This window comes from Homo sapiens, chromosome 16, assembly GCF_000001405.40.
Source record: "Homo sapiens chromosome 16, GRCh38.p14 Primary Assembly".
NCBI lineage: Eukaryota > Metazoa > Chordata > Mammalia > Primates > Hominidae > Homo > Homo sapiens.
In genome coordinates, this window is record NC_000016.10 from 15,094,145 (window position 1) to 15,106,431 (window position 12,287).

Here is a 12,287-nt window from a genome sequence, read left to right on the forward strand (position 1 = left end):
CCAGTCCTCGACGCGCCCAGCTTCTTAACTGCAGAGGACGAAGCGGCCGCATCTCCCGGCAAACGCGTGTGAAGCAGCGGTGCCGCCATTGGGCCGAACTAACGCGACCGCTGCGCCTCAGGCCGGATGCCCAGCTCCTTCCAGCCACAGCCTCTGTCCCGGAAGTTGCGCGTGCCAGCGCAACCTTCAGCCAATCAGCGGCCCCGCGTGGGGAGGGCGTATGCTCTCGGCGGGCTAGAGCGCCGCTGAAACCCGCTCCTCGTTCTACTTGGAGGACTTGTTCCAGCCAGCGCTAGTGCGTGAGTATAAGGAGAGACGGGAAGGACCGGCTCCATCCAGCCCTGAGGATCCCGAAGAAAGGGTGGAAACACCCTGGATGTGCTAAGCTGTGGCCGGGTACACTCAAGTGTTAATTTTTTGGAGTCAAAGCCTCCCTCAGTCAAATCGAAGAAACTGAAGCACTTGTGACTGACCCAGATCTTCACGGAGGAAAGGGGATTCGAACCCGGCTGACCCAGGAGCCTGGGCTCTATACTCAGTGCAGCAGTCTCACAGACACCCAAGATAACGTTATCCTCACGGAAACGAGCTCGACGAAGTGACCTACCTCAGAGCCTCAAGGCTATGGTGATGCTGGCATGAGAAACAACAGGAGAGTTACGAAGAGGTGTTACCCCCTTGACTTTATTTATTTATTTATTTATTTTCTTTTGAGGCCGAGTCTTGCCCTTTTGCCCAGGTGGAGTGCAGTGGTGTGATCTCAGCTCACTGCAACCTCCGCCTCCCCAGTTCCAGCAATTCTCGTGCCTCAGCCTCCCAAGTAGCTGGGATTACAGGCGCATGCCACCACACCCGGCTAATTTTCGTATTTTTAGTGGAGACGGGGTTGCACTGTGTTGGCCAGGCTGGTCTCGAACTCATGACCTCAGGTCATCCGCCCGCCTCGGCCTCCCAAAGTGCTGGGATTACAAGCATGAGCCACCACGCCCGGCCAAACTTAAATTTTTAAAAGAGGAACAGGAGTCAGCCAGACCAACAAAAGAGCCACTGGCGTTCCAAGCATAGGAAACGGAGGAAACAGAGGCCAAAACCTCGGGACTGTGGAGGATGTAGAGGGAGAGCAGGGGCTGCCCCTACTCTCAGGGAGGGGAAAAGGTTGCAACTTTGGAAACTGTACAGGCCTATCAAAAATACAAAAATATCCAGCCTGGGTGACACGGTGAAACTCCATCTCTACAAAAAATTTAAAAAATAAAAATAATAAAAATTATCTGGGTGTGGTGGCACACACCTGTAGTCCCAGCTACTCGGGAGGCTGAGGATTGCTTGAGCCTGGGAGATAGCACCACTGCACTCCTGCTTGGGCAACAGAGTGAGACCCTGTCTCGAAATAAATAAATAAGTTTTTAAAAATGCATATGTATGGGCCCGGCGCAGTGGCTCACGCCTGTTATCCCAACACTTTGGGAGGCCGAGGCAAGTGGATCACCTGAGGCCAGAAGTTTGAGACCAGCCTGGCCAACATGACAAAACCCTGTCTCTACTAAAAATACAAAATTAGCCAGGCATGGTGGCAGTGCCTGTAATCCCAGCTACTTGGGAGGCCGAGGCAGGAGAATAGTTTGAACCCAGGAGGCAGAGGTTGCAGTGAGCCAAGATCGTGCCATTGCACTCCAGCCTGGGTGACGAGTGAAACTGTGTCTCAAAAAAAAAAAAGGTGTGTGTGTGTGTGTGTGTGTGTGTGTGTGTTTATATGTATCTCTCTCCAGGAGTTCAAGACCAGCCTGGGCAACATATGGTGGTGCATACCTGTAGTCCCAGCTACTTGAAAACTGAGGACGGAGGATCACTTGAGCCCTGGAGGTCAAGGCTGCAGTGAGCTGTGATTGTACCCCTGCACTCCAGCCTGGACAACACAGCAAGACCCTATTTCACAACATAAAATACAGCAATTTGGTTTTTTTGTTTTTTGTTTTTTTTTTGAGACAGAGTCTCGCTCTGTCACCCAGGCTGGAGTACAGTGTCATGATCTTGGCTCACTGCATCCTCTGCTTCCCAGGTTCAAGCGATTCTTGTGCCTCAGCCTCCCCAGTAGCTAGGATTACAGGCATGCGCCACCATGCCCAGCTAATTTTTGTATTTTTAGTAGAGACAGGGTTTCACCATGTTGGCCAGGCTGGTCTCAAACTCTTGACCTCAAGTGATCCGCCCGCCTTGGCATCCCAAAGTGCTGGGATTACAGGCATGAGCCACCACGCCCCGCCAGCAGTTTGTTAAACATAAACCATAGCTCTGTTTTGCAACAGTGTAAAATCAGTAACTGTCTTTCCTGAGTCTCTATTTGGTCCTTACTGAGTTCCTTGGGAATGTTGGACAGGAATCATCTGTGTCTCAAGGACAGAGGAAATAATTGCACCGTAGCTCACAAAGATACTTCAAGATAACTGTTTAAATGAGAATCTCTTCTTCACTTCCAAGGGAAAGCAAAGCAAAAACAAAAAGCAACAATAGCAAAACAGCAATCTGACAATTATCTGTTTTGTTTTGTTTTGGTTTGAGACAGGATCTCATTGTCTAGCCCAAGTTAGAGCGCAATGGCGCGATCATGGCTCGTTGCAGCCTCGGGCTCCTACAGCTTATGCAATCCTCTCACCTCAGCCGCCCGAACCCACACCACCAAGCCCAGCTAATTTTTTGTATTTTTGGTAAATACGAGGTCTCACTTTGTTGCCCAGGCTGGTCTTGAACCCCCGGCCCAAGTGATCCTCCCACCTTGGCCTCCCAAAGTGTGTCTCCCCACCTACACTCCCATTCTTTCCCTTAAAAAAAGTCTGAGTCTGGGTGCAGTGACTCACACCTGTAATGCCAGAGCTTTGGGAGGCTGAGGCAGGAGGATAACTTGAAGCCAGGAGTTTGAGACCAGCCCAGGCAACACAGCCAGACTCCGTCTCTACAAATAACACTTTTAAAAAACTTACCCAGGCATGGTGGCACGTGCCTGTAGTTCCAATTATTTGGGAGACAGAGGTGGGAGAATCACTTGAACCCAGGAGTTGGAAGCTGCAGTGAGCTATGACTACACCACGACACTCTCTGGCCTGGGTGACAAAGCAAAATCTCATCTCTTAAAAAAAAAAAGGGAAAAAAAGCTTGATATGTACAAAATAATATGTTAATGTAAGTTATAAGAACATAATGGGCCAGACACAGCGGCTCCTGCCTGTAATCCCAGCACTTTGGGAGGCCGAGGCAGGCGGATCACGAGGTCAGGAGATCGAGACCATCCTGGCTAATGCGGTGAAACCCCGTCTCTACTAAAAATACAAAAAAAAAAAAAAAAAAAAAAAATGTGCCGGGCGTGGTGGCAGGCACTTGTAATCCCAGCTACTTGGGAAGCTGAGGCAGGAGAATGGCATGAACCCGAGAGGTGGAGCTTGCAGTGAGCCGAGATCGCGCCACTGCACCCCAGCCTGGGTGACAGAGTGAGACTCCGTCTCCAAAAAAAAAAAAAAGAACATAATGAACACCTGTGAACATATCGCCCAATTTAAGAAGCCGAACATTAACTAGGACAATTGACACTTACTCTGTGCTGCTCTCGGATCCCACCTTCTACCTGCTTTCCTCCCAAAAATAGTCACCATCATGATTTTTAAAAGTCATTTTAGTTTTCTTTGAATAATTATCATATTTATACTCCTAAACAATGCACTATATTTACTTTTATTTGTCTTTGCATTTTATAAAGTTATCTCCATGCTGTATTATACTGCTGTTTGTTTTCAACATTATGCTTTTTTTTTTTTTTTTTTTTTGAGACGGAGTCTCCCTCTGTTGCCCAGGCTGGAGTGCAGTGGCATGATCTCCCGCCGTCCTCCCACCTCGGCCTCCCAAAATGCTGAGATTATAGGCATGAGCCACCGCGACCAGCCTGAATATTCTTGTATCATGTCCTGATGTATGTGTACAAGTGTTTTTCTAGGGTGGAACTGTTGGGTTGGAGGGGGCACCAAAAGCTTTTAGGAAAGGAGAAAGGAACAAATTGGATATCTATGATTTTTTTTTTTTTTTTTTGAGACAGAGTCTCACTCTGTTGCCCAGGCTGGGGTACAGTGGCACAAGCTCAGCTCACTGCAACCTCTGCCTCCCGGGTTCAAGCGATTCTCCTGCCTCAGCCTCCTGAGTAGCTGGGACTACATGTGCCCGCCACCACACCTGGCTAATTTTTGTATTTTTAGTAGAGATGGGGTTTCTCCATGTTGCCCAGGCTGGTCTCAAATGCCTGACCTCAGGTGATCTGCCTACCTTGACCTCCTAAAATGCTGGGATTACAGGTGTGAGCCATCGTGTCTGGCTACTATTAGTTTTTCTATTTAGAAATTGTTCATCTGGATCCTCCCTACCTTTCAGCCATTTGCAATACATTTGTTGAGCATAAAGAGTGACCTTCTTGGCCGGGCATGGTGGCTCACGCCTGTAATCCCAGCACTTTTGGAGGCCAAGGTGGGTGGATCACCTGAGGTCGGGAGTTCGAGACCAGCCTGACCAACATGGAAAAACCCTGTCTCTACTAAAAATACAAAATTAGCCTGGCATGGTGGCACATGCCTGTAATCCCAGCTACTTGGGAGGCTGAGGCAGGAGAATCACTTGAACCTGGGAGGCAGAGGTTGCAGTGAGCCGAGATCACTGCCATTGCACTCCAGCCTAGGCATCAAAACTCCCTCTCAAAAAAAAAGAGCAACTTTCTTGTCCACAGCAAAGAATCACTGGAAGCCATTTGATGCAATATGACCTCATCTCTCTAGCCAGTGTCGATTGGGTTACAGGAGGGCACCAAGAAGCTTTTTGAAGGCTGTGCCAATGTACACTTCCAGCAATATCTTCTTAAGCTTGAGTGCAGCTCCTTATTTTCCCAAAGCACAGCTAAGACTAAGGCTGCCAAGTTTTTAAAAAGATTTAAAGGAAACTCTGAGCATTATACAAGAAAAATACTGGCCGGGCCCTGTGGCTCATGCCTGTAATCCCTGTACTTTGGGAGGCTGAGGCAGGTGGCTCACTTGAGATCAGGAGTTCAAGACCAGCTGGGCCAACATGGTGAAACCCCATCTCTACTAAAAATACGAATTAGCAGGTGTGGTGGCAGGTGCCTGTAATCCCAGCTACTTGAGAGGCTGAGGCTGGAGAATTGCTTGAACCCAGGAGGCAGAGGTTGCAGTGAGCCAAGATCGCAACACTGCACTCCAGCCTGGGCAACAGAGCAAGACTTGGTCTCAAAAAAAAAAAAAAAAAAAAAAAAAGGAGAAAAAGAAAACCTTAAAACTAAATGCATAATTTCTGTTGTAATTCTTTGACCATGTCCGTTCTTTGTGGAGCCTCTATTCAGTCAAATTGTCCTGTGGGCCAACTCATCTTGGCAGGATAAAAGCCTCCTTATCCAGTCTTGCCTTCCCCAGAGAAAATAAAGGGGGTGGGGGAGGGATAAAGAAAATTAAGACCCTCCCCCTCCAAAAAGAGAAACAACAAAAAGCATGCAAGGATTAACATGCTATCTGCAAAGTCACCACCCTGCCCACAGTGTGGCCTTTCACTTCACTGAGTAATATATTGTTTGTAATACAACAATGTAATCAGCTTCTTCATTCCAGAACAAAATTTTGCTTTACTATCATCATATACCCAGAAGACCCATTAAACTGTTATTTCAAAACAGCAGCCTTTCCTTAGAGATAAATTTTACAGCTACCCCTAGAGTAGTTCTGTTGGCCAAAGCCTCTTAGCTTGCTAGTGAAAGAAACAAAGTCAAGCCAGCTTAAGCAGAAAAGGAGAATTTGTTCTGAGGATACAAATATATAGTAAGGTACCAAAAAAGAATTTATCATTGGCCAATTTGGATAAGGTGCCCTCCTGTAACCCTCCTGTAATCTAATCAACACTGTTAGAGAGATGAGGTGACAGTATACCAAATGGCTTTTGATGAATCTTTGCTGTGAACTAGAAGGGATTAAGTTATGCTCAACTAATGGTTTGCAAATGGCTGAATGGTAGGGCGGATCCACACGAAAAATTTCTAAATAACAAAACCAATAGCATGTATCTCATTTGTCCTTTTTCCTTTCCAAAGAGTCAACAATTATTGTATGAGTCAATTATCTTTATAAAAACTACATTCATTAACACAAATGCAAGATCTCAACTATATATCTTTAGTTATATACATGTATACACATATATGTGTATGTATACATACATTATCCTCAAAGACAACTAATTTAGAGCGTTCCTCATCCCAGTATCTCAGAGAAATACAAAGCAGTTTCTTAGATTTGGCATCATTGAGATTTTGGGCCAACCAGATACTTCTCTGTTGGGTGGGGAGGAGGCTGTTCTGTGAACTGTGGGATGTTCAGCAGCATCCCTGGCCTCTACCCAGTAGATGACAGTAGCACTCCTCTCCTCCCCACAGTAACATTCAAAAATATCTCCAGATGTTGCCAAATGTCCCTGGGGTACAAAACTCTTCCAATTAAGAACCACTGGTATAAACAAGTCAGCTGGGAGTGGTGGCACACACCTGTGGTCCCAGCTATATGGGAGGGTGAGGCAGGAGAATTGCTTGAGCCAGGAGCTTGAGACCAGCCTAGCCAGAATCTCTGCCTAGCCTAGGCAGATCTCTACAGAAAAATACAAAAATCAGCCATAGTGTTGGTGTGCACCTGTAGTCCCGGCTACTCAGGAGGCTGAGACGTGAGGATCAATTGAGCCCAGGAGGTCGAGACTGCAGTGAGCTATGATCTCCCCACTGCATCCTGCAACAGGGACGCTATCTCAAATAGTTAATTAATTAATGGAAGAAAGAAAGAAATCCTAGCTTTGTAATTTACTCTATTACTTTGGGCAATTGCCTTATGTTTCCAGAACTTCAATTTTCTTATGTACAAAATGGGAATAACTTTTTGAGCTATTTTAGAGCTATCGTAAGGATTAGAGCACATAACCACAAACCACAAAATATGTCACGGTGTACAGGACAGGGCAGGTTCTCCGTAAATGACAGTATTTGCCCATTTATTTTCCTGTAAATATGAAATATACTAGGATACTTGATGTGGTTACACTCAGGTGGAAACTGACCTATGAGGGAGATAGACAGATAGGCACGGTCTTTTTTGTTTGTTTGTTTGTTTTTTGAGACGGAGTCTCGCTCTTTCACCCAGGACGGACTGCAGTGGCACGATCTCGGCTCACTGCAAACTCTGCCTCCAAGATGCAAATGATTGTCGTGCCTCAGCCTCCCAAGTAGCTGGAATTACAGGTGTGCACTACCATGCCCAGCTGTTTTTTGTAGAGATGGGGTTAGTAGAGATTTGTTTAATAGAGACGGGGTTTCACCATGGTCTCTACTAAACCCTGTCTCTACTAAAAATACAAAAATTACCCAGGCGTGGTGGCACATGCCTGTAGTCCCAGGTACTCAAGAGGCTGAGGCAGGGGAATCACTTGAACCTGGGAGGTGGAGGTTGCAGTGACCCAAAATCATGCACTCTAGCCTGGGGTCTCGCTTTTGCCCAGGTTAGAGTGCAGTGGCACAATCATAGTGGCTCACTGCAGCCTCAAACTCCTGGGCTGAAGGGAATCCTCCCACCTCAGCCTCCCAAGTAGCTAGGACTATAGGCATGTGCCATCATGGCGAGTTAATTTTTTGTGTGTTTTTATTGTCTCGAGACAGAGTCTTGCTCTGTTGCTCAGGCTGGACTGCAATGGCGTGATCTTGGCTCACCGCAACCTCCACCTCCTGGGTTCAAGCGATTCTCCTGCCTCAGCCTCCCGAGTAGCTGGGATTACAGGTGCGTGCCACCATGCCTGGCTAATTTTGTATTTTTGGTAGAGACAGGGTTTCGCCATGTTGGTCAGGCTGCTCTTGAACGCCTGACCTTGTGATCCACCTGCCTCGGCCTCTCAAAGTGTTGGGATTACAGGCATGAGCCACTGAGCCTGGCCTGGTGAGCTAATTTTTAAATTTGTTATAGAGACAAGAGTCTCTCTTATGTTGCCCAGGCTGGTCTCGACCCCCTGGCCTCAAGTGATCCTCCCACCTCAGCCTCCCAAAGTGCTGGGATTACAGATGGGTGTCACCGCACCTGGCCTCTGAGGAGGATTTCATTATAAACCTGCCCTGAAGGGAGGAAATCCAATTTTACGAGAGGGTGTAGCCTGGTGAGGCCTGGATGACCTCCGGAGGCAGGGGCTTGTGCCTGGGCTGAGGCCTAAGGGTCAATGGGCAGACATGAAGTTGCCCCAGGCAGAGGGTACAGTGTGGGCAAAGTCAGGAAGTGGCAGGGCTTGGATCACTCCAGGAAGAGAGAGGAGTCATGTGTCACAGGAGCTCGAGACCCAGAGAGGGAGGCAGGCAGGCAGGCAGGGACCAAGCTTGGGCACAGCCAGGAAGGCAGGACAGGGCATGGTGGGGCCAAAGGAATCATTACCCAAGACGGGGATTTTCAGGGAAACAGCTTAGATAAGGCCAGGTGTACAGTAGCTCCCACCTGTAATCCCAGCATTTGGTGAGGCTGAGGTAGGAGGACTGCTTGAGCCTGGGAGTTCGAGACCAGCCTAGGCAACATAGTGAGACCCCATATCCACAAAAAATTTAAAAAAGGAGTTTGTGTTCCTGTAGTAGCAGACTTGGGAGGTTGAGGTGGCAGTATCACTTGAGCCCGGAAGTTCAAGGCTAAAGTGAGCTGATTGAGCCATTGCACTCCAGCCTGAGCAACAGAGAGATACGCTGTCTCAAAGGAAATACAAATTAAAAAACCAGCCGGGCATGCTGGCGTGTGCCTGTAGTCTCAGCTACTTGGGACGCTGAAGTGGGAGGATCGCTTGAGCCCAGGAGTTCAAGGCTGCCGTGAGCTATGATTGTGCCTCTGCAGTCCAGCCTGGGCGACAGAGAAAGACCCTGTCTCTTAAAAAAAAAAAAAAAAAAATCTTAGATAAGAGGATGCTGTGCCTCCCTGGGGGTCTTCAGTCACCCATGGTCCTGGCAAGAGAGGAGGGCCAGGAGAGAGCTTCACCCACCTGCTGTCCTGCCCATGTGACATCCGCAGGTGCTGCCATGGCCACGACTGTTGTTACACTCGAGCTGAGGAGGCCGGCTGCAGCCCCAAGACAGAGCGCTACTCCTGGCAGTGCGTCAATCAGAGCGTCCTGTGCGGTGAGTCCCCAGCAGCACCATGCCACCCACCCCGAGTATCCCCTGGGCACCCTGGCATAGCCAGATGACTTCCGTGCCCCTGTGGCAATAACCACTGCTTCCAAGTCTCTATAGACCACCCCTTGGGTATATCTAATGTAAGTGATATTTATTTTATTTATTTTTTGAGTCAGAGTCTCGCTCTGTCACCCAGGCTAGAGTGTGCTGATGTGATCTCGGCTCACTACAACCTCTGCCTCCTGGGTTCAAGCGATTCTCATGCCTCAGCCTCCCAAGTGGCTGGGACTACAGGCATGCACCATCACGCCCAGCTAATTTTTGTATTTTTTCAGTAGAGGTGGGGTTTCACCAAGTTGGCCGGGCTGGTCTCAAACTCCCCACCTCAAGTGCTCTGCCCGCCTCGGCCTCCCAAAGTGCTGGGATTACAGGCATGAGCCGTGGTGTCTGGCCCTAATGTGAGTGATCTTTAACACTGAGCACTTGAAAAAGAAAACCCTGAAGAAACCTAATTCTTTGATGTCTGGATGACAAGGAAGAAGATAGAAATGGCATCAGATAATAAACAGTGTAAATGTTTATCAGAAAGAGGCTGGTGGTCGGGACAAGTAGGAGGATTGCTTGAGTCCAGGAGTGCATCTCTACAAAAAAGTTAAAGGATTTTTTAACATTGGCCAGGCGTGGTGGCACACATCTGTGATCCCAGCTACTTGGGAGGCTGGGGCAGGAGGATTGCTTGAAGCCCAGGAGGTTGAGGCTGCAGTGAGCTGTGATCGAGCCACTGCACTCCAGCCTGGGTGACAGAGCAAACTCCAGTCTCAAAAAAAAAAACAAATAATAATATTTTACATAACCAACCACTTCTAAAGATTAAAAAAACCCCTACGATTAAAAACCTCAGGTCCCTCAGGCAATCATACCAGATATTGAAACAAAGCAATAACATAAGGACTGCAGTATTCATTTTATTTTTATATTATTTATTTATTCTTCGTTAGTTTCTTCAGATTATCATCCACTGAGGGTGGAAGGGGAGTGAGCAGACACACTTGGGAGGTGTCTTGAGATTATCATCCGCTGAGGGTGGAGCTGAGGGTGGAAGGGGAGTGAGCAGACACACTCGGGAGGTGTCTTGAGATTATCATCCGCTGAGGGTGGAGCTGAGGGTGGAAGGGGAGTGAGCAGACACTCGGAGGTGTCTTGAGATTATCATCCGCTGAGGGTGGAAGGGGATAGAGCAGACACTCCGCAGGTGTCTTGAGGCTCAGGGAGTTATCAGTTATAGAATGTTGTTGAGTTGGAGGAGGTGGCTGGTGGCCCATCCTGTTTTTTAAAGTTTCAGCTGTGAGGTAGGGCCAGCAGGGCAATCCTGAAGAATGACGATGCTCCGCTGCCGCCATTCTGACCTGTAGGGCCAAAGGAGGGAATGTTTTCACACATATTCATTTGATGGACAAAATTACCGCCACCAACACAGTCTGCACCTTCTGTTGCTGGTGATAGATTTTTGCACCTTTCCATCCTCCAGGTTTCAAAATAGCAGTATCAGTGTCATATCACCCTTCCACTGAGTACTGCCGACAGCTGGGGGGTAAAGAAAAGTCACTGGGACACACTGTTGTCTCCACATGCCACTGTGTCTGTCTGCAAATGTAGGCAGGCTGGGGTCCTGCCCCAGGGAAGACAGAGTCATAACAGAGTAATAAAGAAGCATGTTTGAGACACAGGAGTGTCTATGTCTATCCTCATTCCTCCCTCACAGCCATCACCAGAGCATGTTTCTTGCACCAGGTCAACAGACAGTAAGAGACAGTAAGAGAGGCATGAAAAGCCCATTGTCCACACATGTTGCAGCTTCTTTTTGGAGAATGTTTTCCAGGCCCTTTATGTTCTGTCTCTGATTCTCAGAACTCTGCAAGGTCAGTGTGACCACCCTGCTCCAAATCTAAGAAAACAGAGGTTTCCAGAGGAAGGAGAAATTGTGCCCAGGGTCACACAGCTTGCAAGAGGCAGAGTGGAAGTTGATTCCAGCTCTGCCTGCAGGACCCTCTCATTTCCCCTCTGTTTCCCTTCTTGACAAAGGATCTTCTTCACTCTGGAGGTGCCACCCATGAGAACAAAGAGCTCTGGAGAGATGTGGATTCCTGAAGAGCTGCAGGGGAACTGGGAGAGGGTTTTCTGACAGAACAATCTTACCTCAAGAAGTCAGTTAGGCATGGCTGTAATATTTCTTTTCACTCCCAGGTAATACCAAATTGTAAGTGCACTAGGACATAAAGAATACTTTTGTCCATGGAAAAATGAGGTGGGAATTCTAAACAAAGCAAGTTTTAAAACTGTGTTTCACTTCAAGTGTACAAGTCCCATCGCGTGTAATCATAGGACTCGGCAGCTTTTGAAGGTACAGAGGCCACACAAGAACCAGCTTAGCTGAGCATCATTTAAGGCCCTCATTTGGAATTGTCCCTGTGGGTAATAAGTTACATTCACTCTTCACTAATTTACAGTCAGGGCCCATTTGTTATTACAAATACGGAACCTCTGACACTTAGAATATTAGATGGGGGCCCCACTGGGTGGGGATGAAGGTGTTTTTGCGCAACACGGTTACCAACAGGGATGGGACTGTGATGCTTGTAGGCAGCCTTCCTCTCTGCCATCTCCCTCTGCAGGGCTTGAGCACAGAGCCGTAGGGAGAAAAATGTATCCATGTCCTGACCTGGCAGACTATGTCCAAAAGCAAGGAAAACAAGCAAACTTACCCGGTTGCAAAGAGGCTTTCTTGCAGAAGGGGTGATCTGAAAAAGCCAACACATGAGAAATTGAATGTTGAGAGAGTCTAAGGGCCGTGGCATCATCTGCATCAGCACTGAACTATCCTGCAACTGCGGGGAGGAAGCTCCTTACTTTGCATCTGTAGTAGTCCTCTGCCCGCCGCCGCAACGCTTGCGCACGTTGAAACATTTCCCTATGGATTACAATCACTTTCATCAGATAAAGCACCACTTTCAGGATGATTTTAAATAATCTGCCATGTTTCTGTTATCCTCACAACTGTACCCTTACACAATCTATCTCT

General features: G+C 47.8%; 2 protein-coding genes, 1 long non-coding RNA gene and 2 pseudogenes across 13 annotated transcripts in view, besides 1 other annotated feature; 2 read left to right on the forward strand and 3 right to left on the reverse strand.

Moving 5' to 3' along the window:
• RRN3 (RNA polymerase I transcription factor RRN3) overlaps positions 1–191 on the reverse strand; it is a 34,314-nt gene extending 34,123 nt beyond the window's left edge. Inside the window, exon 1 of one of the 2 annotated variants that reach the window (NM_001301064.1) lies at positions 1–191. In NM_001301064.1, coding sequence (NP_001287993.1) covers positions 1–89 — 89 coding nt within the window. In that variant the 5' untranslated portion in view covers positions 90–191. The other variant, NM_018427.5, reaches the window with a different exon arrangement.
• The window catches only part of PDXDC1 (pyridoxal dependent decarboxylase domain containing 1), a 178,484-nt gene that overhangs the window by 119,410 nt on the left and 46,787 nt on the right, over positions 1–12,287 (forward strand). The window lies entirely within an intron of this gene.
• Positions 108–402: an enhancer, noted in NCBI's record as "tiled region #13846; HepG2 Activating DNase unmatched - State 1:Tss, and K562 Activating DNase unmatched - State 1:Tss". NCBI's record gives its function as "activates a minimal TATA promoter and a strong SV40 promoter by Sharpr-MPRA in HepG2 and K562 cells {active_cell/tissue: HepG2 | K562}" and the evidence as "EXISTENCE:reporter gene assay evidence [ECO:0000049][PMID:27701403]".
• The window catches only part of LOC100505915 (uncharacterized), a 14,787-nt gene continuing 2,766 nt past the window's right edge, over positions 267–12,287 (forward strand). The window contains exons 1-2 of the long non-coding RNA NR_125434.1: positions 267–667; positions 8,991–9,211. This is a non-coding gene — a long non-coding RNA (uncharacterized LOC100505915). The remainder of the gene's footprint in view (positions 668–8,990; positions 9,212–12,287) is intronic.
• The window catches only part of NPIPP1 (nuclear pore complex interacting protein pseudogene 1), a 19,183-nt pseudogene continuing 17,067 nt past the window's right edge, over positions 10,172–12,287 (reverse strand).
• Positions 10,579–12,287, reverse strand: part of PKD1P6-NPIPP1 (PKD1P6-NPIPP1 readthrough) — a 26,879-nt pseudogene continuing 25,170 nt past the window's right edge. Inside the window, exons 15-18 of the transcript NR_123722.1 lie at positions 12,116–12,176; positions 11,971–12,006; positions 11,405–11,674; positions 10,579–10,614 (exon numbers count right to left, since the gene is read on the reverse strand). The product of NR_123722.1 is annotated as a PKD1P6-NPIPP1 readthrough, transcript variant 2 (transcript). The remainder of the gene's footprint in view (positions 10,615–11,404; positions 11,675–11,970; positions 12,007–12,115; positions 12,177–12,287) is intronic.